The following is a 23,452-nucleotide window of genomic DNA, read 5'->3' as shown; positions in this document are numbered from 1 at the left end:
AGACCTTGTCTCAAAAAAAAAAAAAAAAAAAAGAAAGAAAGAAAGAAAGAAAGAAAGAAAAAGAAGAGAAAAGAAAAATGACTGTCAGGAATATGGAGGATATATTAAAGTGCAGAAATAATTAGGGCAAGAAGACCACTTAAAAGAATAATCCAGATTTTGTTAAATAATTGTATGTGCAAAGACAAGAAGAGGGGAGTCTCTCATCTTTCTGGTTTAAGATCCTAGGTGTATGGGGAAGTCGCCAAACAAGGAAGGGAGAAAGGCAGGGTCGCCTAGGGATGCAGAGCTTGGTTACAGAAGGCTGCCTTGGATCCCAGGGCTGCCACTCCCAGCTGCCGGACCTTGGATTTGCCGGGGAGTTCCTTTTTTTTCTTCTTCACATTGTAGCAGCCAGATCAACTTCATCATTTACAAATAGTTGTCCTAAGGATTACTTGAGGAAATGCATGTAAAAACACTGAAAATACTGCCTAGAATCTAGTAAGCTTATAGAATCATTGTCTGTTACTCTTTTTTTTTTTTTTTTTTTTTTTTTTGAGACGGAGTCTCGCTCTGTCGCCCAGGCTGGAGTGCAGTGGCGGGATCTCGGCTCACTGCAAGCTCCGCCTCCCGGGTTCACGCCATTCTCCTGCCTCAGCCTCCCGAGTAGCTGGGACTACAGGCGCCCGCCACTACGCCCGGCTAATTTTTTGTATTTTTAGTAGAGACGGGGTTTCACCGTTTTAGCCGGGATGGTCTCGATCTCCTGACCTCGTGATCCGCCCGCCTCGGCCTCCCAAAGTGCTGGGATTACAGGCGTGAGCCACCGCGCCCGGCCCATTGTCTGTTACTCTTGTCACCATGCAACATAAAAGAGGAACCCGGAGGAGAAGACAAAGAGTTCTGTTTAAGGGCATGTTAGGTTTCAAATAACCTCAGGTCTTCAGGGACCTCCCAGAAAGGATGTCCAGGGAGTAGTTTGCTATCAGGGTCTAGCTCAGGAGACAGATGTGGCGCTGGGGTATTAATCTGGGAGTTAGCATGCAGTTGAAAGCTCATGTGAGGGGAGGGAATTACCGAGGAAACACCATGGAATCCAGCATCAGCAATGGAAGTGGAGTCGAGGGGAGAGACTTAGGGCTGAGGTCTCCTACACTGAGGTCAAGGAAGCAAGTGAGCCTAGCCTGGAGTCTACTCTCCTAGAGTTTGAGCTGCCTAGAAGGGTGGTGCCATGAAATAGAAGCCCTAACAAAAGCTAAGTGCATCACTGACTATGAGGGAATAACCAGAGAGATGACCTGGGGAAGGAAAAAAGGGAAGAAAATGCCAAAAGGTTTTCTCCTCCAGATGAAGATCTAGAAGCAGCGGGGAAAACGAGGATATTGAACCAGACCCTTCAGTTAGCGCATTTTTCACACAGGTTATAATACAATTGATTGGATGACATTCCCATCCTGAGAATTTCCTGATTACCATAATTACGTCTCATCCTTTCATCTTTTTAATTGGCCATTTACAAACCACTTTCAGGAGTACAGGGCCACATAATCAAACCTAACTAATGTTGACGAATAAATAAAATGTTTCTTTCATATCTAATAATACGTAGCCTGTCCTAGAACTACAACCCTGTTTTTAATTGACTGACATTTAAAACCCTGAATTTTTATTTCTGTATACAAAAAAGAGAACTTTGAGACAGTCCCTAAGTAGGCAATTCGTTTTCACACGTTCTTAAAACATATTCTACACTCCCTTCGCTTTCCGCCTTCCTGCCTCCTCAGATCTCGTTTCTTCGGCTACGAATCTCGCGAGAAGTCAAGTTCTCATGAGTTCTCCCAAAATCCACCGCTCTTCCTCTTTCCCTAAGCAGCCTGAGGTGAGTGTTTCTCCTGCGTTGCTCCGAGGGCCCAATCCTCCTGCCATCGCCGCCATCCTGGCTTCGGGGGCGCCGGCCTCCAGGCCCCCGGGAGGAGAACTCCTAGGGCTACTAAATCCTCGCTGGAGGCGGTGGCTTCTTATGCGGGAGGACGTGGCGGAGGGCCTGACTTTGGGAGCCGGGGTCAGTCGGCCTCTGAGGTCCGCAGAGGGACGTGATGGGCGGGAATGGGGACTACCGGGCTCCTCCACTGGTGGGGGCGCCGGCCCGCCGTGGGGTGCGGGCCGCCTGGGGTCCGTGCGGACTCCGGAGGTCCGGTGTCTAGTGGTGAGTGGTGGCCGCAACGAGGAAAAAGTTTTGGGGGAAAGAAAAGTCGGGTGGAGGCGTAACACGTTACTACAAGAGTGTTGCGTACAGGAGGGCTCTTAAAGTGGGTCATAGCCCGAAGGTGTTGAGAGAGACGGCACTCACTACCTGCAGCCCTGACAGCAAAGGGGTTTCTGTAGAGCGGGAGGGAGGAGGTGTAGAGGGTTACGGTTGAGTTGTGCCCTGCGGATGCGTCGAGTCATTTTACGCCTGGAAGATCCAGCATTGGATTGAAACAGGCTGTATTTTCTTCCAAAGGGTTGACTGGATTGGTGAGGCCCGTGTGGCTACTTCTGTGGAAGCAGTGCTGTAGTTACTGGAAGATAAAAGGGAAAGCAAGCCCTTGGTGGGGGAAAGTATGGCTGCGATGATGGCATTTCTTAGGACACCTTTGGATTAATAATGAAAACAACTACTCTCTGAGCAGCTGTTCGAATCATCTGATATTTATACTGAATGAGTTACTGTAAGTACGTATTGACAGAATTACACTGTACTTTCCTCTAGGTGATCTGTGAAAATGGTTCGCTATTCACTTGACCCGGAGAACCCCACGAAATGTAAGTGGACAGGAGGTAGATACCCATTTCCTACTTGGGGCTTGGCATAAGATACCAAAAATTAACCAAAACGTTTTATTTTCTAGCATGCAAATCAAGAGGTTCCAATCTTCGTGTTCACTTTAAGGTATGCGATTCATAGTTGTGATCCAACAGTTCCTCATGTTCCACTCAAAAAAGGTAGCTGCAGTGATGACTTTCTTAGGACACCTTTGGATTTACCGTGAAAATTAATAAATTCTGAGCAGCCACCTTATATTTAGGCATTGATGATCAGGGTGTAAGGATGTAGCGTTTGTGAAATTGAGAAGTAGTACCAGAAAACCATTTGAAAACCTAGTGTGCAGATCAAGATGGGGCATTTTAATTGTAATTACATGATGATGGAATTTAAACGTTTTATAGTGAATAAATGGAGTTTTGGAGTTTTCTCTAGCTTCAACGAAGTTTACCTGGCTTTTAGTCACAAGTTTTTTTAATTGCCTTGCCCCCAAAGAATAGAAATAACTCGACATTTTGAAAAGCTGAAAATTGAAAATTTAACGTTTACTTTAAAAATTAAAGCTTTGATCTAGTTAACCAACACTTTATTCTTCATACTTAGAACACTCGTGAAACTGCTCAGGCCATCAAGGGTATGCATATACGAAAAGCCACGAAGTATCTGAAAGATGTCACTTTACAGAAACAGTGTGTACCATTCCGACGTTACAATGGTGGAGTTGGCAGGTGTGCGCAGGTGAGAATTCTTAGTTGCCATTTGAAAAGACAGATTTTAATGGAAAAGTGATGGGATAGGATAAGAATGGCTAAGATCTGTGCTGATGAACCTATTTCTGGTTGCTGTAATGACAGGACACCTTGGATTGATGGTGAAATAAACCATATCCTAAGAAACCGTGATATCAGATAAATTCATCTTGGCTGTAATGTTAATTTAAATCAAGGAAAATGACTCATCATCTCCATTTTCTTTCAGGCCAAGCAATGGGGCTGGACACAAGGTCGGTGGCCCAAAAAGAGTGCTGAATTTTTGCTGCACATGCTTAAAAACGCAGAGAGTAATGCTGAACTTAAGGTACCCAAACCACTAACATCCTGTGCAACTTGGGTGGTTGTTTAATTAATGTTGGCTGTTCAGATTTATGTCCTTGATTTTCTTGTTTTCAGTAATTAACTCTTAGGATTTTTTAAATTTCTACCTGCAGTTTCCACAGAATGAAACTATTTCCTTTTATTTTTTTTGAGTCCCTTTATGGCAAAATTCTGTGAAGATCCAGAAGCGTGCTCTGTGGTCTCTTTAAGCCTAACACTTAGTATTTCTAGTTTTCTGCTGTCTTTTTACACTGGAGGTACTTTACCAGGGGCTTTTACCCCTTTTTGTGACATACACCTTTGGTAGTATGATTAATTATCAAAATGATTGCCTTAGCAGTGATTAATGTGGTTTGTGGCCTACCTTCATAATGGAGAGTCATGTTGCATTTCAGAAAGAAATTGTTTAAAATTTCAAAAAGTTTAAACAATGACAAACTTGTGTTGACAAAACACAAATTTCTCCATTTTGTATATTACCCATTAGCCTTTTGCATTTGAAGGTCTGGGCCAGAACTGGAATTAGTTTAGGTCTGTATGGCTCCAAACCTTCTAAGCCATGCTGAGAAATTTTATCATCAAGACTTCGAATTGGGTTCTTCCTTACCCCTCAGCTCTCCACCCGTCTAAGGATCTTTGGGAAGGCCACTCATAGACAAAATGTATAGCACACTGAGTTTGGTGGCAATTTAGACATGTAAAGGTGAAGGCAGACAACTGGTTAAAAAAATGCTATTTGCAGAATAAAAGGATTGCCTTTTAAAAATGATTTCATTGAGGCAGGACTCTGGAGCAAGCCTGGGAATTCATATTTAGCAATGATAGTTTGTGGTGTTTTACTAATTAAGGATGTTCCTGGTTTCATTCTCCTTCCTTTCTTCCCCAGGGTTTAGATGTAGATTCTCTGGTCATTGAGCATATCCAAGTGAACAAAGCACCTAAGATGCGCCGCCGGACCTACAGAGCTCATGGTCGGATTAACCCATACATGAGCTCTCCCTGCCACATTGAGATGATCCTTACGGAAAAGGAACAGATTGTTCCTAAACCAGAAGAGGAGGTTGCCCAGAAGAAAAAGGTAAATAAGTAGTTGCTCGGTTTTGTTTGTGATAGTAGAAAGATTTGTGGTTGCTGTGATGACTATCTTAGGACACCTTTGGAATAACTATGAAAGAAAACTATTCTGAGCAACCCTTTCACCTGTCTTATTTTGGCTTTTGTAAGTTTGTTTCTTGACTAATAATAAATGGTAAGTTTTCTGTAATCCCAGCACTTTGGGAGGCTGAGGTGGGTGGATCACAAGGTCAGGAGATCGAGACCATCCTGGCTAACACAGTGAAACCCCGTCTCTACTAAAAATGCAAAAAAAAATTAGCTGGGCGTGGTGGCGGGTATCTGTAGTCCCAGCTACTCAGGAGGCTGAGGCAGGAGAATGGCATGAACCCGGGAGGAGGAACTAGGAGTGAGCCGAGATCGCGCCACTGCACTCCAGCCTGGGTGACAGAGCGAGACGCTGTCTCAAAAAAAAAAAAACTGGTAGTTTTATATTCAGTACCTCAGGCCCGTATGATTATCTGCTGATGGCCCCACTTAGATGTACATAGCCACTTCAAAATGGGCCCTCTCCCCAAATCTAAGAAGCTTGTTTTCAGTAATTGATCACATTTAGTTCTTTTAAGTCAAGAACCTGAGTGATTCTGTACACTTCTTTTTACATCTAATGAACTTAAGTTCTGTTGATTTCTACCATTTAAGTATTTTTCCCCCTTAGTCCTTAACGACTAGGTTTCCTGCCTCCAGAATAAGCTGAAGTCCTCCAAGATGTACTGTGGTTTTCTCTAAGAAACTTAACACATTTTTCTTTCCCCAGATATCCCAGAAGAAACTGAAGAAACAAAAACTTATGGCACGGGAGTAAATTCAGCATTAAAATAAATGTAATTAAAAGGAAAAGAATGTTGGTTGTCTTTATTAGTGAACATATTTCAAGTGTCCTTACAAGATGGATCAAATGAGGATTTTTTAGGATTAGAACTAGAAACACAAGATTGTTTACCCTGCACCATTAAAAACCATTTTCATGGCTGGGCACAGTGGCTCATTTCTGTAGTCCCAGCACTTTGGGAGGTGGAGGCTGACTGCTTAAGCCCAGCCAGGGCAACATGTCAGAACCCTGTCTGTTAAAAAAAAGTAAGTGTGGTGTCACTTGCATGTAGTCCCAGCTAATTGGGGGGCTGAGGTGGGAGGCTGCAGTGAGCACTACTGCACCCCAGCGTGGGCAAGACAGAACAAGACCCTGTCTCAAAAAAAGTTTCATTATCCCAAAAGGAATTTGCAGTGGTTTTCTTTGCAGAACAATCCAGTATGTGAATATACCAGTTGATCATCCCCAGTTGGAAATGGCTCCATTGAGCATTGCCTTTGAGTATGATAACAGCACTCAGGCTCAGGTTTTGAAGCTTTTTAGGTTGATGCTCAACCTGTATCATTTCGTCAATTGATAAAGGGGTTTTGTTTTTGCTATTAGGAACGATGGTACTGTGAACGTTTGTGTGCAGATTTTTGTGTTTTCATTTATTGAGTATATACTAGAGTGGAATTGCTAGATCATAAGGTTACCTGAGTAAACATCTGAGGAACTTCCAAATATTTCCAAAAAGGCTGCACGCTACATTTCCACCAACGGTTTATGAGGGTCCCAGTTTTCACACAACTTCGCCAACACGTACTGACATCCTAGCGAGCGTCAGTACTTTTCGTTTATAAAGTGATGTAACTGCTTCTTTTAAGCAACTGACGTTTGTAAAGTTGGCCTTAATGTTAGTTTGCTCTGCCCTTGAATTTAAGAAACCAGCAAAACTAATAGCTTATCCACAGTTGCCTCAACGGCCTAGCTGCCACCTTCCGTGTGGGTGCCGCGCCGTTTGCACAGGCATCATCCTTTACCGAGATCCTGCGTTCTGGGTCTGGGTGTAGTCAGGTCAGGCTTTCTTCCCGCAGCGAAGCTTTTAGTTGGGCATCTGGGACGCGCAGGACTTTCGCGCTACCTGCAGGCCGCAGAGCCGGAAGCCTCGCCGCGCCCCTTGGGCAACACTGCTGCGTGCTGTGCGACCCCGGGTTGACGCAAGCGCGCCTTTGTCGTCCCCGTTGAAGGCGCCCATTGGCTCGGCTGCGGATCGTCCCTCCCTCCGGAAGTGCGGACATTGTCAGCTGCGTTTCCGCGGTCGCGGGTGAGTGTGCCCGGGCTAGCGGCCTGGGTTGGGCTTTGTAGCTGCTCCGCAGGCCCAGCCCGGGCCGCGCTCGCAGAGTCCTAGGCGGTGCGCGGCCTCCTGCCTCCTCCCTCCTCGGCGGTCGCGGCCCGCCGGCCTCCGCGGTGCCTGCCTTCGCTCTCAGGGTACCTTCCTTCCGCGAGCGCGCTCCTCCGCCCTCCGCCCCGCCCTCCCCTCCCCTCTGTCTGTATTCTTTGTCCACCACCGGCGCCCTCGGAGCTTGCATTTGCCTCTCCGATACTTTATATTGATTTTGTTCTTTTCCGTGGCCAAGTATCGGTTTCACATCCTTTCTATGACCTTCACCGTTAGGCCTCTGTTCTCGTCTCTTTTCAATCATTGTCATTGACTCAACCTGTCCCCGCTCCCTCTGTCTCCACTAAGATGACATGCTCAACTGGATGACTTGGAGGAAGGTGACTTTCCCTGTTATGCCTTCCCTATTTCGGATGGAGCCTCAGACTTTAACTGTCTACTCTGTTGTCTGGACTTAAGTTGAGTGAAAGAAGATTCCTCTGCAACAGCTTTAATCCGTTTTGCTCGCTTTGTTGGCTTGGAGCGAATAATTAAAATAATAATATCTCGTAGCCACCTTCTAGACTTTTCTGACCCAGTTTCCATATGTGTGAAGTAAAATATCTTACCGAAGTATTATTATGAAGATTAAAAGATAAGATACAAATAGGCTTCATTCCGAAGAGAGCTAAAAAGTCTCTTAAAAGCCGTAATTGTGGCGTAAGTGATTAGTAGTATTTGTCCTCGAGAGTTTATGTACATCGTACTGTGTGCGAACTTACTTAAAACACAATTGCAGAAGTAAAAATGAATCTTTATGATGGAGGGCCTGTCAGTCACTAAACTAGTACTGGTAGCATTGTCAGTTGTTTTGAAGGGGTTTCGTTGGTTTGGAAAGTTTGGTAAAAGTTTGGTAAAAACATGACCATTGTGTTTTTGGAAGAGGAAAAGGCAAGAGCATTGAGGAAAACCAGAACTGGAAATAATGGTCTTAGAAGCTCTAGTTACCAGTTACCTCTGTGAGAACTTTGGACAGGTTACAACTTTTGGATTTTTTTTTTTTTTTAATCTTGAGACAGGGTCTGCCTCTGTGGCCCAGGCTGGAGTCCAGTGGGCCATCATAGCTCACGGCAGTTTCGGCTTTCCTGGGCGCAAGCGGTTCTCTCCTTCCTCAGCTCCCCAAATACCTGGGACTACAGGCGCGTGCCATCACACCTTGCTAATTATTTAAAAAAAAAAATTAGGCCAGGTTCCAGTAATCCCAGCACTTTGGGAGGCCTAGGCGGGAGGATCATTTGAGCTTAGGACTTTAAGATCAGCATGGGCAACACAGTGAGACCTCATCTCTACTAAGAATTAAAAAATCTGTCGGGCATCGTGGCGCAGGGCTGTGGTCCTACCTACTCAGGAGGCTGAGGAAGGGGGATAGCTTGATTCTGGGAAGTCAAGGCTGCAGTGAACTCTGAACACAGGTGGTATGTTTGAGCCACTGCACTTTAGCCTGAGCAACAGAGCAAGACCCTGTCTCAAAAAAAAAAAAATCACTATTGCCCCAGCAATTGATTTTATTTTATTTTATTTTTATTTTTTTTTTTTCTGACACGGAGTTTTGCTCTTGTCACGCAGGCTGGAGTGCAATGGCGCAATCTCAGCTCACTGCGACTTCCGCCTCCCAGGTTCAAGCAATTCTCCTGCCTCAGCCTCCCCAGTAGCTGGGATTACAGGTGCCCACCACCACGCCCAGCTAATTTTTGTATTTTTAGTAGAGACAGGGTTTTGCCATGTTGGCCAGGCTGGTTTCGAACTCCTTACCTAAGATGATCCACCCCCTCGGCCTCCCAAGGTGCTTGGATTACAGGCGTGAGCCACCGCGCCCAGCCTCAATTTACATTTTTGTTTATAGCTCTTGCTTGTAATTCATTTCAAAGACATTCAGATTTGATTCTCTATGCCACCGTTTACCTGTATTGTGAATAATTTTTAAATGTCTAAGCATAGTGATGGTGCTGACTCAGTTGCCAGCAGATGCTACTTAATTTGCAGTATTTTGAAAATAAGAAATCTTTTTTTTGAGACGGAGTTTTGCTCTGTCACCCAGGCTGGAATGCAGTGGCATGATCTTGGCTCACCGCAACCTCTACCTCCCGGGTTCAAGCAATTCTTCCCCCTCAGCCTCCCGAGTAGCTGGGATTACAGGCCTGCTCCACCATGGCTGGCTAATTTTGTGTTTTTAGTAGAGACGGGGTTTCACCATGTTGGTTAGGCTGGTCTCGAACTCCTGACCTCAGGTGATCTGCCCGCCTTGGCCTCCCAAAGTGCTGGGATTACAGGTGTGAGCCACCACACCCGGCTCATTTTTTAAACTCTAAATAGACATAGTAGCAAGGGTACCCAACCTCACTGATTGAGGATTAAATGAGTTGTTATATGTAAACTGTCTAGCACCTACCAAATGTTGTTGTTTTTCCTTTATAATCAAATTCATGATTAAGGAGCAGTGACTGGAAGTTTGGAAGCAGGCACCTCATTATTATTCATGCCTACCACCTATTATTTCTTTATTTTGAGATGGAGTCTTGCTCTGTCACCTAGGCTGGAGTGCAGTGGTGGGATCTCGGCTCACTGCAGCCTCTGCCTCCTGGGTTCAAGCAATTCTGCCTCAGCCTTCCGAGTAGCTGGGATTACAGGCGCATGCCACAACACCCCGCTGATTTTTGTATTTTTAGTAGAGACAGGGTTTCACCATGTTGGCCAGGCTGGTCTCGAACTCCTCACCTCATGATCCACCCGCCTTGGCCTCCCAAAGTGCTGGGATTACAGCCATGAGCCACTGCACCTGGCCTATTTCTTTACCTTGTAGATAGCAGCTTTTTATTTAATAAAGTCTTTTTTTTTTAGCAAATATAATAGTATGTTTTAAGTTTTTCCTACACTGTAGAAATAGTCCTTTCGTGTGTGTGTGTGTGTGTGTGTGTGTGTGTGTGTATATATATATATATATATATTTTTTTTTTTTCTTTTTTTGAGACAAAGTGTCTCTGTGTCATCCAGGCTGGAGAGCAGTGGCATGAACACGGCTCACTGCAGCCTCAACCTCCTGGGCTCTAGTGATCCTCTTGTCCCAGCCACTTATGTAGCTGGGACCACAGGAGTATGCCACCATGCCCAGCTAATTTTTTGATCTTGTAGAGACAAGGTCTCACTTTGTTGTGCAAGTTGGTTTCAAACTCCTGGGCTCAAGCTATCCTCTTGCCTCCCAAAGTGCTGGGATTACAGGCGTGAGCCACCACATCTATCCCCTTTCAGATATCTTAATCTTGGTAAATTCTTTCAGTTACTAATCTGTGATGAACTAATTTTTTTCTTCACATATATCAACAGTTGAGGAGCTCAAGCTTGGGAAAATGGTGTGCATTCCTTGTATCGTCATTCCAGTTCTGCTCTGGATCTACAAAAAATTCCTGGAGCCATATATATACCCTCTGGTTTCCCCCTTCGTTAGTCGTATATGGCCTAAGAAAGCAATACAAGAATCCAATGATACAAACAAAGGCAAAGTAAACTTTAAGGTAAGAACATTCACATGCCTTGAATAAGAGCAGTGAAAGGGGGTGGTACTTGGGTGAAACACTAGATTTTGGAAGGACAAGTTTTAGAACCAGAAGCTTCAATAGTTTGTGTAACATTTGGCTTAAATTAAAGTTTTAAAGTAGGCCTCTGATTAATGCATTTGTCCTTTGGCCAAAATGATAACCATATTTTCTGACTGGTAAGTGCAATGGTAAATAGCTAATGGATGAGGAGAGATTATGCTGATACAAACCAGTTTCACTGATTGATGACTTTGATAAGAGATTTAATTAGAAGGATCATAGAGATTTAAAAAAAAAACAATTTTTTTAAAAATGAGTGGACAACTCTGTTGTCTTTAGAATTGGTGCTTTTTTAGATTCAGCTTTGTACTCAGCTGCACTAATTTAGCCATCCGGCCCGTTTCTGGAAGCAAAATGTTTTCACTCTGGAGCTTGTCTGTTTTTAAAGAGAATGTTTCTTGAGCTGGGCGCGGTAGCTCACGCCTGTAATCCCAGCACTTGGGGAGGTCAAGATGGGTTGATCACCTGAGGTCAGGAGTTTGAGACCAGCCTGACCAACATGGTGAAATCCTGTTTCTACTAAAAATACCAAAATTAGTGAGGCGCGGTGGTGGGCACCTGTAATCTCAGCTACTCAGGAGGCTGAGGTGGGAGAATTGCTTGAACCTGGGTGGCAGAGGTTTCAGTGAGCCGAGATCACATCATTGCACTCCAGCCTGGGTGACAAGAATGAAACTCCATCTCAAAAAAAAAAAAAAAGAGAGAGACAGAATGTCTCTTAATATCTTTTTGTTGTAATAATTTCTTTCTTTTTTTTTTTTTGTTTTTGTTTTTGTGATGAAGTCTCGCTTTGTCACCAGGCTAGAGTGCAGTGGCATAATCTTGGCTCACCACAACTTCCGTCTCCCAGGTTCAAACGATTCTCCTGCCTCAGCCTCCTGAGTAGCTGGGATTATAGGCACATGCTACCATACCCAGCTAATTTTTGTATTTTTAGTAGGGACGGGGTTTCACCATGTCAGCCAGGATGGTCTCGATCTTCTGACCTCGTGATCTGCCTGCCTCAGCCTCCCAAAGTGCTGGGATTACAGGCATAAGCCACCGCACCCGGCTTGTTATGATAATTTCTAAAATGTTTTTTCATTTTAGGGTGCAGACATGAATGGATTACCAACAAAAGGACCAACAGAAATCTGTGATAAAAAGAAAGACTAAAGAAATTTTCCTAAAGGACCCCATCATTTAAAAAATGGACCTGATAATATGAAGCATCTTCCTTGTAATTGTCTCTGACCTTTTTATCTGAGACCGGAATTCAGGATAGGAGTCTAGATATTTACCTGATACTAATCAGGAAATATATGATATCCGTATTTAAAATGTAGTTAGTTATATTTAATGACCTCATTCCTAAGTTCCTTTTTCGTTAATGTAGCTTTCATTTCTGTTATTGCTGTTTGAATAATATGATTAAATAGAAGGTTTGTGCCAGTAGACATTATGTTACTAAATCAGCACTTTAAAATCTTTGGTTCTCTAATTCATATGAATTTGCTGTTTGCTCTAATTTCTTTGGGCTCTTCTAATTTGAGTGGAGTACAATTTTGTTGTGAAACAGTCCAGTGAAACTGTGCAGGGAAATGAAGGTAGAATTTTGGGAGGTAATAATGATGTGAAACATAAAGATTTAATAATTACTGTCCAACACAGTGGAGCAGCTTGTCCACAAATATAGTAATTACTATTTATTGCTCTAAGGAAGATTAAAAAAAGATAGGGAAAAGGGGGAAACTTCTTTGAAAAATGAAACATCTGTTACATTAATGTCTAATTATAAAATTTTAATCCTTACTGCATTTCTTCTGTTCCTACAAATGTATTAAACATTCAGTTTAACTGGTAGTTCATTTTCTTTTAAAGTCTATTGAAATATTCAAAAGGGAAATTTTTCACCACGTCAGAAGGCAGAATTTGGATGTTGTGATGGCATCTGTGTAGTGGTGGGACAACAATTACTATTGTTGCGTAACAAGACACTCCAAAATTTAGTGGTTTTCAGCAGCAGTGACTCGACTGGGCAGTTCTTTGCTGTTCTGGGCTCACTCATATGGCTGGCTGGGCCTGGGTCTGGACCTGGGCCGCTATGTGATTTTTATCTTGGGCTTTGAAAATTCAGTGTAGGGACCTATAAATATTCAAAGATGATGAGATGCATCCTTATATATTTTTTGTATTCACTCTGAAGCTGGGAAAGATTAAAAGGAACTCCTGCCCTTGGGTCCCTAATGAAGTCTGGGTCCTAACTCAGGCTCTATTAAGTTCTGTGGCTGGTCAAGTCACTGATTTACCTTGGGCTTTATTTGATATAAATCATGTAAATCAGCAGGTCTCAGCTTTTCTGTCCAAAGCCACCTGAGGGATAAGATAAATTCTCATTAGCAAATAAACTTTTTTAAGGTATAAATACTATTATAAAAATAACAGATATTTACAGTACAACAATGCAAGAGGATCCTAAATGAAAAGCGAATGTTTTTTCTCAACTCTCATTCCCTTATTCCAGCTCCACAGAGGTAACCAATTGTTTTTTTGTTGTTGTTGTTGTATGGTTTGTTTTTGTTAGACAGTAGTCTTTTCCTGAACAGTGCTGCTCCTTGTGGAGCAAGGCTAATTCATAGGCAGTGCATCCAGAGTCCGCCCCAGTTGATTTTGTGTGTAACCTTCTAGCAACTTTTTGAAAATTAATTTGTTCTTAAATATGCACATCATTTTTATTTATTTATGTTTTTGAGACAGGGTCTCACTCTGTCACTCAAGCTGGAGTGCAGCAGCATGATCACGGCTCTCTATGGCCTCGACCTGCAGTCCTGAAGTGATCCTCTCACCTTAGCCTCTCAAGTAGCTGGGACTACAGGTGCACACCACCATGCCCAGCTAATGTTTTTTGTAATTTTTTTTATAGAGACAGGGTTTCGTCATGTTGCCTGGGCTGATCTCGATCTCCTGGGCTCAAGCGATCCTCCACTTTGGCTTCCCAAAGTGCTGGGATTACAGGCATGAGCTACTACTGCACCTGGCCCACACATCATCTTTTAAAAATTAAGTAATATTGCAACGTTTCTAATTGTCCCTACTTCTTTGCTCCTCAAAGGTTTTACCTACTGAGCTGTGGGCTTTTTAAATTTATCTCCATATTTATAAATAAATTATAAAAATATAAAAATATAAACATTTTATTTTTTGAGACAGGGTCTCACTGTCACCCAGGTGCTGGAGTGCAGCGGCATCATCATAGCTCACTACAGCCTCCAACTCCTGGGCTCAAGTGATCCTCCCACCTCAGCCTCCTGAATTGCTAGGACTACAGGTGTGTGCCACCACGCCTGGCTAATTTTTTGTAGAGACGGGGTCTTGCTCTGTTGCCCAAGCGAGTCTCAAACTCCTGGCCTCAAAGTGATCCTCTTGCCTCAGCCTCCCAAAGTGTCGGGATTACAGGCATGAGCCACTGCCTGGCTATACTGTTATATTTTGAGCCATCAACTTCAGACATTGTTTCCCATAATGGTTGAGATGCCGCTATCTTACACTGCCTCTGCTCCTCCCACACATCCTCCCAAGTGCTTTTGTAAATTTTGCTTACATCATCAGTGTTCATAGCATGAGTGTGCCAGGTGTCTTTCATTTGCCCCTCCCAAGTCTCTGCTCCCCTCATCCTGCTTTCAGCCCAAGGAAGCTGTATAGACATCAACAGACTTCCCATGTCTCTGGGTTCTGCTGGGTTTGGCCAATAGCGATCCATAGCAGGAGATGGCTGGAGGGAGGAGAATGAAGGCAGAGTGTTTATTCCCTTGGCCCTCTCTCTGCAAGGTCACCTCAGGCCAACTGTTCCTCAGCCAGAAGTCACTGTGCCTCAAGGAACACTCCAGGCAGCCAACTCCACCTGACTTCTTTTATTTTTCCTAACCTGTCCTTCACCCTGCCCTTTTGGGCCCAGGGGTGGTGGTATTTCTGTTACTGGCTCTGGGCTACTGCTTCCTCTCAAGAGTGCTATCTGGCTTGCTGGGACACTGCCTGGGAGAATACTATTGCTCACTGCACAGGTTAATGCACTGTGATTGCGTCCCTTTTAATATACAGGTGGTGTCTTCCTGGAGTGACCAGTTTACCTTCTCCCCATACACCTCTCCTGCCTAGTTGTTGCCTAGACCTGGTGCACACTGCAGTCCTCGGGACTTTCTGTTGCCACCCTCCTGTATTGGACGTCTTGTTTCTGGATTTCCTATCCTCTTCCTTCTTGGTTTATCCCTCATTTTTTCTGTAGCACAGCAGTTTTCTAATTCAATACTTTTAGGAGGTTGAGTATGGATAATTTTGGAAAGTGTCCCCGGGATGATTCCAATTTATTTAAGCCTGTTTTCCAGAGAGCTGCGGGTCTCCTAAGGCCTTTCTCATTTCTAACAAGTCTCCCTCTCTAGAACACTGGTTCCCAGTCGTTGTTTTCATACTAGCAACATTTTAAAAGCAGGATAGGGGTGGCTAGTATGCAATTGCCAACTTTTGATTTTTCCAAGCAGGAGTATATCAAAAAGCTACAATTTATTACCAGTATTTCGTAAAAGACAGTTTGACACCAGAAGAGTGAAAAAGAACATGGGAATAGTGGACAAAAATAGCCATCAGTTTGAATAAGCGTATGAAAAGTGTTAATTTTATGAAAAATTCACTATTTTGTTCATATTTTTCTTATTTTGGAGGCTAATTGTTAAAAGCTTTTATCAGTTATCCATGGGCTGGAGTTGGTAGCCACTGTTTGATACCACACAAATGTTTCTTTGCCCTAAAATATCAACATCTGTCTGTGTAAAGGTCAGGGCTGCCTTTTTAGTAAGAGCTACCCTTTGTTAAACACATTGTACCTGCACTGTTCATGGGTGTTTCACACACACAAACCTACCTGGTCTGCATAAACCTGAAATACAGTCAAGAAAACAGGATCCACCGGAGGCGGTGACTCAAGCCTATAATCCCAGCACTTTGGGAGGCCGAGGTGGGAGGATCACTTGAGGCCGGGAGTTCAAGACCAGCCTGGCCAACATGGTGAAACCCTGTCTCTACTAAAAATACAAAAATTAGTCGGGCATAGTGGTACACACCTGTAATCCCAGCTACTCCAGAGGCTGAGGCATGAGAATCGTTTGAAACCAGGAGGCAGAGGTTGCAGTGAGCTGAAATTGTACCACTGCACTCCAGCCTAGGTGACAGAGCAAGACTGTCTCAAAAGAAAAGAAAAAGAAAAACAGGATCCCAGCCTGGGCAACATAGGGAGACCTCGCCTCCACCAAAAATTAAAAAATTTAGCTAGGCATATGGTGATGTGCACCTGTGGTCCCAGCTACTCTGGAGGCTGAGGTGGGAGGATTGCTTGAACCCAGGAGGTTAAAGGCTACAGTGAGCTGTGATCAAGCCACTGCACTCTAGCTTGGACAACAGAGCAAGACCCTGTCTTAAAAAAAGAAAAAAAGAATAATGGAGTTTAAATATGTAAATGACAAGTCTAAGATTTCAAGGTCATACTTTCATGCTAAGGAGCCATCACAGCTACATATATATATAGTGTATATATATATATAGTGTGTATATATATATAGTGTATATACATATAGTGTATATATATATAGTGTATATATATAGTGTGTATATATATAGTGTGTGTATATATATATATGTGTATATATATATAGTGTGTGTATATATATATATTTTTGTTTGTTTGTTTGTTTTTGGAAGATGGAGTTTCGCTCTTGTTGCCCAGGCTGCAGTGCAATGGTGCAATCTCTGCTCACCACAACCTCCTCCTCCCAGGTTCAAGCGATTCTGCCTCAGCCTCCCAAGTAGCTGGGATTACAGGTGCGTGCTACCACACCCGGCTAATTTTGTACTTTAGTAGAGACGGGGTTTCACCACGTTGGTCAGGCTGGTCTCAAACTCCCAACCTCCAGTGATCTGCCTGCCTTGGCCTCCCAAAGTGCTGGGATCACAGGCATAAGCACTGGGCCCGGCTGCCACAGCTACTAATATCTTAATTGTTAGTAATACCTTATTGGGAATAATTAGGCAGAAATGGAGAGGGTGAGTTTAGATTAATCAGTATGTGTGAACTTGTTTTAAAGTTTCTGGAGGCTGAGGTGAGAGGATCGCTTAAGTCCAGGAGGCGGAAGTTGCAGTGAGCCAAGATCACACCACTGTACTCCAGCCAGGACAACAGAGCAATACCCCGTTTCAAATAAATAATAATAAAGTTAATTTTGCTAACCTTGTATCTTGAGTTTTTAATTTACCTACTTTTCAACAACTTATTTTTGCTTTATGAATTTTAACTGCATTTCCCGTCTCATTTTATGAGTTAGACTCATTTTCTCAGGTAATTACTTGAGGCTAAAACTTGGGTTTCATCACTTTTTTTTTTTTTTTTCCATTACTAGGCTGCCTTCTTAGGAAACATAGGTGACTCAGCACTTCCTTAAAGTGACCATTCAGAACTGGCATGTTGACAGAATGCCTGGATTAAAAAGAAACTCCAACCGCTGATCTTTTCATTTGTTATTATTTTTTAGAGACAGAGTCTCACTCTGTTGCCCAGGCTGGAGTGCAGTGGCGCAATCATAGCTCACTGCAGGCTCAAACTCCTGGGCTGAAGTGATCTTCTTGTCTCAGCCTCCCGAGTAGCTGGGACTACAGGCATGAACCACTGCGCCTGGCGCAGAGACTGATCTTAAGTCTAGTTCAGTCGTAATCAAAGAGGAAATGGAAGTTTTCTTATGGTTTCCTCCACAGGGAGCTACTTGCTTGTTCTAACCTCAAAGCTAAATTTATTGACATGGCGACAGCTCCTTAATAAAGAAGCAAAGACTATGGGTTCTTTGGTTTGAATGTCCGCTCCAAAACTCATGTTGAAATTTAATCCCCAATGTGGCAGTAGTGAGAGGTAGGGCCTTTAAAAGGTAATTGGGTCATGAGGGCCCTGCCCTCATGAATAGATTCATTCACTCATGGATTAATGGATTAGTGGGTTAATAGATTTAACGGGTTATCATAGGAGTAGAACTGGAAGCTTTTATAAGAAGAGGAAAAGGCGCCGGGCACGGTGGCTCACGCCTGTAATCTCAGCACTTTGGGAGGCCGAGGCAGGCGGATTGTCTGAGCTCAGGAGTTCAAGACCAGCCTGGGCAACACGGTGAAACCCCGTCTCTACTAAAATACAAAAAAAAAATCAGCCAGGTGTGGTGGCATGCACCTGTACTGCCAGCTACTCGGGAGGCGGAGGCAGGAGAATTGCTTGAACCCGGGAGGCAGAGGTTGCAGTGAACCTAGATTGCACCAGTGCACTCCAGCCTAGGTGACAGAGTGAGATACCGTCTCAAAAAAAAAAAAAAAAGAGGAAAAGGCTGGGCACCGTGGTTCACGCCTATAATTAAAGCCCTTTGGGAGGCCAAGGAAGGAGGAGTGCTTGAGGCCAGGAGTTTGAAACCAGCCTGGGCAACATAGTGAGACCCTCATCTCTGCAAAACATAAAAATGAAACAATTAGCCTGGCATAGTGGTGCATGCCTGTGGTCCCAGCTACTTGGAAGGCTGAGGCAAGGGGATCACTGGAACCTGGGAATTTGAGGCTGCAGTGAGCTATGATTACGCCACTGCACTTCAGCCTGGGCAATAGAAGGAAACCCTGTCTCAGAATAATAAAATAAATAAAAATTAAAAGACCCTGTCTCAGCAGGGCGCAGTGGCTCATGCCTGTAATCCTAGCACTTTGGGAGGCTGAGGCGGACGGATCACAAGGTCCAGGAAATCGAGACCATCCTGGCCAACACAGTGAAACCCCATCTCTGCTAAAAATACAAAAAAATTAGCTGGGTGGGGTGGCATGTGCCTATAGTCCCAGCTACTCAGGAGGCTGAGGCAGGAGAATTGCTTGAACTGGGGAGCTGGAGGTTGCAGTGAGCCGAGATTACGTGACTGCATTCCAGCCTGGTGACAGAGTAAGACTCCTTCTCATTAAAAAAAAAAAAAAAAAAAAGTGTCTCTACAAAAAATTAAGAATAAATTATCGCCAGGCACGGTGGCTCACGCCTGTAATCCCAGCACTTTGAGAGGCCAAGGCAGGCGGATCACCTGAGGTTGGGAGTTCAAGACCAGCCTGACCAACATGGAAAAACCTGTCTCTGCTAAAAATACAAAACTAGCCGGGCATGGTGATGCATGCCTATAATCCCACCTGCTAGAGAGGCTGAGGCAGGAGAATTGCTTGAACCAGGGAGGCGGAGGTTGCGGTGAGCCGAGATCATGCCATTGCACTCCAGTCTGGGCAACAAGAGCGAAACTCCGTCTCAAAAAATAAATAAATAAATAAATAAATAAATAAATAAATAAATAAATAAATAATCTAGGTGTAGTGGGACCCTCCTGTAAACCCAGCTACTCAGGAGACTAAAGTGGGAGGATCACTTGAGCCTAGAAGTTTGAGGCTACAGTGACCTGTGATCATGGCACTCTAGTCCAGCCTGGGTGACAAAATAGGAAAAAATTTGAGCTAGCACACTTGGCCATGTGATGTCCTGCACTGCCTTGGGACTCTGCAGAGTCCTTACCAGCAAGAGGGCTCTCACCAGATGCAGCCCCTTGACCTGGGACTTCTTAGCCTCCGTAATTCTAAGAAATAAATTTGATTTATAAACTACCCAGTTTCAGATACTCAGTTCTAATAACAGAAAACAGAAGACAATGGGCAAACTTGTTCTTATGAACTGACAGCATGGAAGGTTTGAAGAAAAAGAGCAGAAGGCATTTGGGCAGAGAGTTGAATATCGGTAAGTTTAAATTGAGGATGTAAAGAAATTTCAGATTTTTCAAGTGAAAGGAGAGGGTGAAATTGAGAAAGTAACAACTATAGATGAACTGTGAAGGGCTGGCATGTGGTAGACGATTCACAAAATATACCAAATGCTCAAACGTTGAGCTGGTCTGGACCTTAGGGTACGTTCAAACCAATCCTGTCATTTTTACTAAGGGCTAAAAAGGTTAAAAGCGGTAGCCCAGATGCTGTAACAGGGCATGAGCCAAGTTTCCTGCAAGGGTGCTGTGTACAGTGGGGCTAAGCGTGCGCTGCCCAATTTCAGAAGGCACCATACACATTGACAGCAATGTCAAAGATTCCCCTAGGTCTATACTTTACACAAGGGTCTTATTCCTGACTTGATAATTCAGCAGGTGTAGTTCCGGAATTCCTTGGTACATTGGTTTTCTATAGCTGCATAACAAATTGCCACAAATGTAGGGGCTTAAAGCAACCCAAATCTATTACCTCCCAGTTTTAGGGGTCAGATGTCCTGGTATGGTCTAGTTGGATTCTCTGCTCAGGGTTTCACCAGGCTAAAATCAGGATGCAGGCCAGGTCCGCAGTTCTCATCTGGGCTCAGGGGTCTTCCAAGCTCACAGCTTGTCAGCAGAATTTATTTCCTTGTAGTCCTGTTTTCCTCCTAGTCAGCCAGGCCCTGCTCTTAGCTCCCAGAAGCTGCTCGCAGTTCCTTAGCACGTGTCCTCCAAGGTCAGCTCCCCACATCGATGTTCCCTTTCTTCCAACTCATCTGGAGCATATTTTTCTGCCTTCTAATCTTCTGGGATCAGCCAGAAAATCCTCTGCTTTTAAAGGGCAGAGTGATTAAATCAGGCATGACTGGATAACCTCCCAAGGTCAACTAATTTGGGACCTTAATTATACAGTATCTGCAAAATCACTTCACAGCAGCAACCAGGTGAGTATTTTCCTTCTGCTTCTGCTGCTTCCTCTTCCTTTTCCTCTTCCTCCTCCTCCTCCTCCTTCTTCTTCATTTTTTGTTTGTTTTTTTGAGACGGAGTCTGTCCAGCCTATCGCCCAGGCTTGAGTGCAGTGGCACAATCTCAGTTCACTGCAACTTCCGCCTCCCAGGTTCAAGTGATTCTCCTGCCTCAGCCTCCCAAGTAGCTGGGACTACAGGCACGTGCCACCATGCCCGACTAATTTTTGTATTTTTATTTTTTATTTTATTTAATTATGTATTTGAGACAGAATCTTGCTCTGTCACCGAGGCTGGAGTGCAGTTGCAAGATCTCGGCTCACTGCAACCTCTGCCTCCCGGTTCAAGAGATTCTCTTGCCTAAGCCTCCCGAGTAGCTGGGACTACAGGCGTGCCCCACCATGCCCTGCTAATTTTTGTATTTTTTGCAAAGACGGGGTTTCACCATGTTTGCCAGGCTGGTCTCGAACTCCCGAACTCAGGTGATCCACCTGCTTCAGCCTTCCAAAGCGCTGGGATTACAGGCATGAGCCACTGCGCCCAGCCTAGATGAGTATTTGATTGGTGTTTGGGAGAAAGTGCCTGTACTTCAAGGTCCAGGAATCTAGGGGCCTATCTTAGAAGTCTGCCCACCAAACTTGACCCCTTTGCTGACAAACTATTCCAGTCCTTCAATTACTTGGGAACCCGCTGAGGATTGGAATCTCATAGTTCCCATCTATTAATGCCCCTAGGCTTTATTGATTTTAAACTCTGGAGATTTTATTTTCTTGTCATTTAGACAGCCACTCAGCATAGTCTTTTCTGACCCTAAATTGGATGACTAGAAATCATTTCAGATGGAGGGGGCATGAGGAAGACAGTTAAATAAATAGTGTATTTCACATAGGAGAGGAAAGAAGACAGGTGCATAAATATGAAGACACAGGTTTCATCAGAAAAATGCAAATTAGAACCCTAATGAGAAACCACCAGAATGGTTAAGATTAAATATCAAAGGTTGGGAGGATGAAGAGCAGAGGCAGTTCTCGTGTACTGCTGGTGGGAGTGCAAATTGGTACAACTGCTTTGTCAGCATTATCTGGTAAAGTTAAACATGCACAGCAGGGCGCAGTGGCTTATGCCTGTAATTCCAGCACTTTGGGAGGCTCAGTGGGTGAATCAATTGAGGTCAGGAGTTCGAGACCAGCCTGGCCCACATGTTGAAACCCCATCTCTACTGAAAATACAAAAAACACAAAAATTAGCCAGATGTGGTGGCAGGTGCCTGTAATCCCAGCTACTCAGGAGGTTGAGGCAGGAGAATCGCTTGAACCAGGGAGGCAGAGGTTGCAGTGAGCTGAGACAGTGCCACTGCACTCCAGCCTGGATGACAGAGTGAGACTCCGTCTCAAAAACAAAAACAAAAACACACTGTGATCCAGCCATTCCTTCCTAGAGTGTGGATCCCAGTGAAAATAATGTACCTGTATACCTGGAGACAGGTGGAAGAATATTCTTGGAAGCACTGTTTGTGTTAGCCCCAAAAAAACAACATCCCCAAAAAAGTCCTTCTAAAGTAGGAAGGATTAAATAAACTGGTGTAATAAATCTCTGTTATGATGTTTTAAGTGAGTTTCAAAAAATACCATTGTGTAAACTGTAGACTTATGTCATTTTAGGTTAATCAAATAATGGAGGTAAGCTTGCTTCGCTAACCTCATCCAGAGATCCAAGAGCCAATCAGCAATCACTTTATGACCAAATTTACAAAATATAGCCAGGAATGGTGGTTTGTGCCTGGAGTCCTAGCTACTCAGAAGGCTAAGGTGGGAGATCACTTGAGCCCAGGAGTTCAAGGCTACAGTGAGCCATGATTGTGCCACTGCACTCCAGCCTGAGTGACAGAGCAAGACTCTGGCTTAGAAAAATATATATATACATATATATGTATGTATGTATGTATGTATAAAATATGCATATACTGGAATACTATGCAGCAGTGAAAAATGAAAGAACTCAAAACTAATGTTTGTTGCTTAGGTATGAATGGTGGTTACTTCTGTGGGATAGTAATTGGAAAGAAGAACAAGCGAGCTTTCTAGGGTGCTAAAAATGTTCTCTATCTTGATGTCAGTGGTGGTTACACAAATAAATACATACAAATGTTAGATATACCCTTAACATTCATCAGCTTACCAAAGCAAGTGAATAAAACATAAATTAATTTAAAAACTGAATTATTAGATGCATGCATGCATCCACATGGGTGAATCTCAAAAAGAATTTTGAGAGGAAAAAAGGAAGTCATAGAATAATACATACTGAATGATTCTGTTTTTATATAGTTCAAAAACAGACAAAGCTAAATAATACATTATTTAGAGATACATAGAAAGGTAGCAAAATAATTTCTAAAATCTAGAGAGTTATTAGAGAAGTCAAGATGGTGGTTATCTCTGGGGAGAGAGAGAAGATCCCAGGATCAGCACAGAGGGGGCTTCTAGGATATTGTTCCTATTTTATTTCTTAGTTGGGTAATTGTTTTTAGCCTCAGAATGTTAGAGGGTATTATCCTTTAAACTGTGTGTCTGACATGCACACCCACGTTTATAGCAGCACAATTCACAATTGCAAAGATATGGAACCAACTTACGTGCCCATCAACCAATGAGTACATAAAGAAAACTTGGTATATATACACCATGGAATACTACTCAGCCATAAAAAGGAATGAAATAATGTCTTTTGCAGCAACGTGGATGGAGGTGGAGGCTGTTTTTCTAAGTGAAGTAACTCAGGAATGGAAAAACAAATATTGTAAGTTCTCACTTTTAAGTGGGAGCTAAGCTAGGAGGATGTAAAGGCATAAGAATGATATA

At 43.6% G+C, this 23,452-nt stretch overlaps 3 protein-coding genes and 4 non-coding genes across 24 annotated transcripts, besides 4 other annotated features; 6 read left to right on the top strand and 1 right to left on the bottom strand.

Moving 5' to 3' along the window:
- Positions 1,840 to 2,460: an enhancer, noted in NCBI's record as "NANOG-H3K27ac-H3K4me1 hESC enhancer chr18:47018229-47018849 (GRCh37/hg19 assembly coordinates)". NCBI's record gives its function as "activates a minimal SCP1, AML or CMV promoter by ChIP-STARR-seq in naive H9 embryonic stem cells {active_cell/tissue: H9 hESC(naive)}" and the evidence as "EXISTENCE:reporter gene assay evidence [ECO:0000049][PMID:30033119]".
- On the top strand, positions 1,854 to 5,838 carry RPL17 (ribosomal protein L17). Of its 16 annotated transcripts, none has more exons than NM_001369558.1 (8): positions 1,854 to 1,861; positions 2,486 to 2,499; positions 2,735 to 2,787; positions 2,874 to 2,914; positions 3,392 to 3,526; positions 3,767 to 3,865; positions 4,769 to 4,960; positions 5,753 to 5,838. In NM_001369558.1, exons 3-8 carry the CDS (start codon positions 2,748 to 2,750, stop codon positions 5,798 to 5,800), a joined length of 555 nt encoding a protein of 184 aa, NP_001356487.1. In that variant the 5' UTR covers positions 1,854 to 1,861; positions 2,486 to 2,499; positions 2,735 to 2,747; the 3' UTR covers positions 5,801 to 5,838. The 16 variants fall into 16 exon arrangements, with proteins under 16 accessions (NP_001356487.1, NP_001356485.1, NP_001186269.1 ...); NM_001369556.1 differs by having other exon boundaries at positions 2,486 to 2,573; NM_001199340.2 differs by having other exon boundaries at positions 2,486 to 2,583.
- Positions 1,854 to 13,141, top strand: RPL17-C18orf32 (RPL17-C18orf32 readthrough). Of its 2 annotated transcripts, none has more exons than NM_001199356.2 (7): positions 1,854 to 1,861; positions 2,735 to 2,787; positions 3,392 to 3,526; positions 3,767 to 3,865; positions 4,769 to 4,960; positions 10,548 to 10,735; positions 11,909 to 13,141. In NM_001199356.2, the coding sequence occupies exons 3-6, from the start codon at positions 3,425 to 3,427 to the stop codon at positions 10,725 to 10,727; spliced, it is 573 nt and encodes a 190-aa protein (NP_001186285.1). In that variant the 5' UTR covers positions 1,854 to 1,861; positions 2,735 to 2,787; positions 3,392 to 3,424; the 3' UTR covers positions 10,728 to 10,735; positions 11,909 to 13,141. The 2 variants fall into 2 exon arrangements, with proteins under 2 accessions (NP_001186285.1, NP_001186284.1); NM_001199355.1 differs by lacking the exon at positions 1,854 to 1,861 and adding an exon at positions 2,874 to 2,914.
- Positions 1,899 to 1,948: an enhancer, noted in NCBI's record as "active region_13310". NCBI's record gives its function as "activates an Ori minimal core promoter by ATAC-STARR-seq in GM12878 lymphoblastoid cells {active_cell/tissue: GM12878}" and the evidence as "EXISTENCE:reporter gene assay evidence [ECO:0000049][PMID:35858748]".
- On the top strand, positions 2,590 to 2,655 carry SNORD58B (small nucleolar RNA, C/D box 58B). The gene has a single exon (NR_002572.1). It is a non-coding gene; the product is annotated as a small nucleolar RNA, C/D box 58B (small nucleolar RNA).
- SNORD58A (small nucleolar RNA, C/D box 58A) lies at positions 2,972 to 3,036 on the top strand. Its single transcript, NR_002571.1, has one exon. It is a non-coding gene; the product is annotated as a small nucleolar RNA, C/D box 58A (small nucleolar RNA).
- SNORD58C (small nucleolar RNA, C/D box 58C) lies at positions 4,995 to 5,084 on the top strand. Its single transcript, NR_003701.1, has one exon. It is a non-coding gene; the product is annotated as a small nucleolar RNA, C/D box 58C (small nucleolar RNA).
- On the bottom strand, positions 6,897 to 6,946 carry MIR1539 (microRNA 1539). The gene has a single exon (NR_031720.1). It is a non-coding gene; the product is annotated as a microRNA 1539 (primary transcript).
- Positions 7,027 to 7,186: an enhancer, noted in NCBI's record as "active region_13309". NCBI's record gives its function as "activates an Ori minimal core promoter by ATAC-STARR-seq in GM12878 lymphoblastoid cells {active_cell/tissue: GM12878}" and the evidence as "EXISTENCE:reporter gene assay evidence [ECO:0000049][PMID:35858748]".
- C18orf32 (chromosome 18 open reading frame 32) lies at positions 7,085 to 17,076 on the top strand. 2 transcript variants are annotated; one of them, NM_001199346.2, is made up of 3 exons: positions 7,085 to 7,112; positions 10,548 to 10,735; positions 11,909 to 17,076. In NM_001199346.2, exons 2-3 carry the CDS (start codon positions 10,571 to 10,573, stop codon positions 11,972 to 11,974), a joined length of 231 nt encoding a protein of 76 aa, NP_001186275.1. In that variant the 5' UTR covers positions 7,085 to 7,112; positions 10,548 to 10,570; the 3' UTR covers positions 11,975 to 17,076. The 2 variants fall into 2 exon arrangements, with proteins under 2 accessions (NP_001186275.1, NP_001030177.1); NM_001035005.4 differs by having other exon boundaries at positions 7,085 to 7,276.
- Positions 7,227 to 7,356: a silencer, noted in NCBI's record as "silent region_9449". NCBI's record gives its function as "represses an Ori minimal core promoter by ATAC-STARR-seq in GM12878 lymphoblastoid cells {active_cell/tissue: GM12878}" and the evidence as "EXISTENCE:reporter gene assay evidence [ECO:0000049][PMID:35858748]".
- Positions 17,077 to 23,452: the final 6,376 nt, after the last annotated feature.

Source organism: Homo sapiens, chromosome 18 (assembly GCF_000001405.40).
Source record: "Homo sapiens chromosome 18, GRCh38.p14 Primary Assembly".
In the NCBI taxonomy this organism is placed as follows: Eukaryota; Metazoa; Chordata; class Mammalia; order Primates; family Hominidae; genus Homo; species Homo sapiens.
This window is presented reverse-complemented; position numbering and strand designations above follow the sequence as displayed.

What these genes read in the sequence shown, in the direction of transcription:
- RPL17-C18orf32 (NM_001199355.1), top strand. Translation starts at nt 2,748, where the DNA reads ATGGTTCGCTATTCACTTGACCCGGAGAACCCCACGAAAT. An exon ending in AGAGTAATGCTGAACTTAAG is followed by an intron (nt 3,866 to 4,768) that starts GTACCCAAACCA and finishes TTTCTTCCCCAG; the next exon opens with GGTTTAGATGTAGATTCTCT. An exon ending in AGGTTGCCCAGAAGAAAAAG is followed by an intron (nt 4,961 to 10,547) that starts GTAAATAAGTAG and finishes ATATATCAACAG; the next exon opens with TTGAGGAGCTCAAGCTTGGG.
- C18orf32 (NM_001199346.2), top strand. Translation starts at nt 10,571, where the DNA reads ATGGTGTGCATTCCTTGTATCGTCATTCCAGTTCTGCTCTGGATCTAC. An exon ending in AAGGCAAAGTAAACTTTAAG is followed by an intron (nt 10,736 to 11,908) that starts GTAAGAACATTC and finishes TTTTCATTTTAG; the next exon opens with GGTGCAGACATGAATGGATT.
- RPL17 (NM_001369555.1), top strand. Translation starts at nt 2,748, where the DNA reads ATGGTTCGCTATTCACTTGACCCGGAGAACCCCACGAAATGTAAGTGG. An exon ending in GAGTTGGCAGGTGTGCGCAG is followed by an intron (nt 3,527 to 3,766) that starts GTGAGAATTCTT and finishes ATTTTCTTTCAG; the next exon opens with GCCAAGCAATGGGGCTGGAC. An exon ending in AGGTTGCCCAGAAGAAAAAG is followed by an intron (nt 4,961 to 5,752) that starts GTAAATAAGTAG and finishes TTCTTTCCCCAG; the next exon opens with ATATCCCAGAAGAAACTGAA.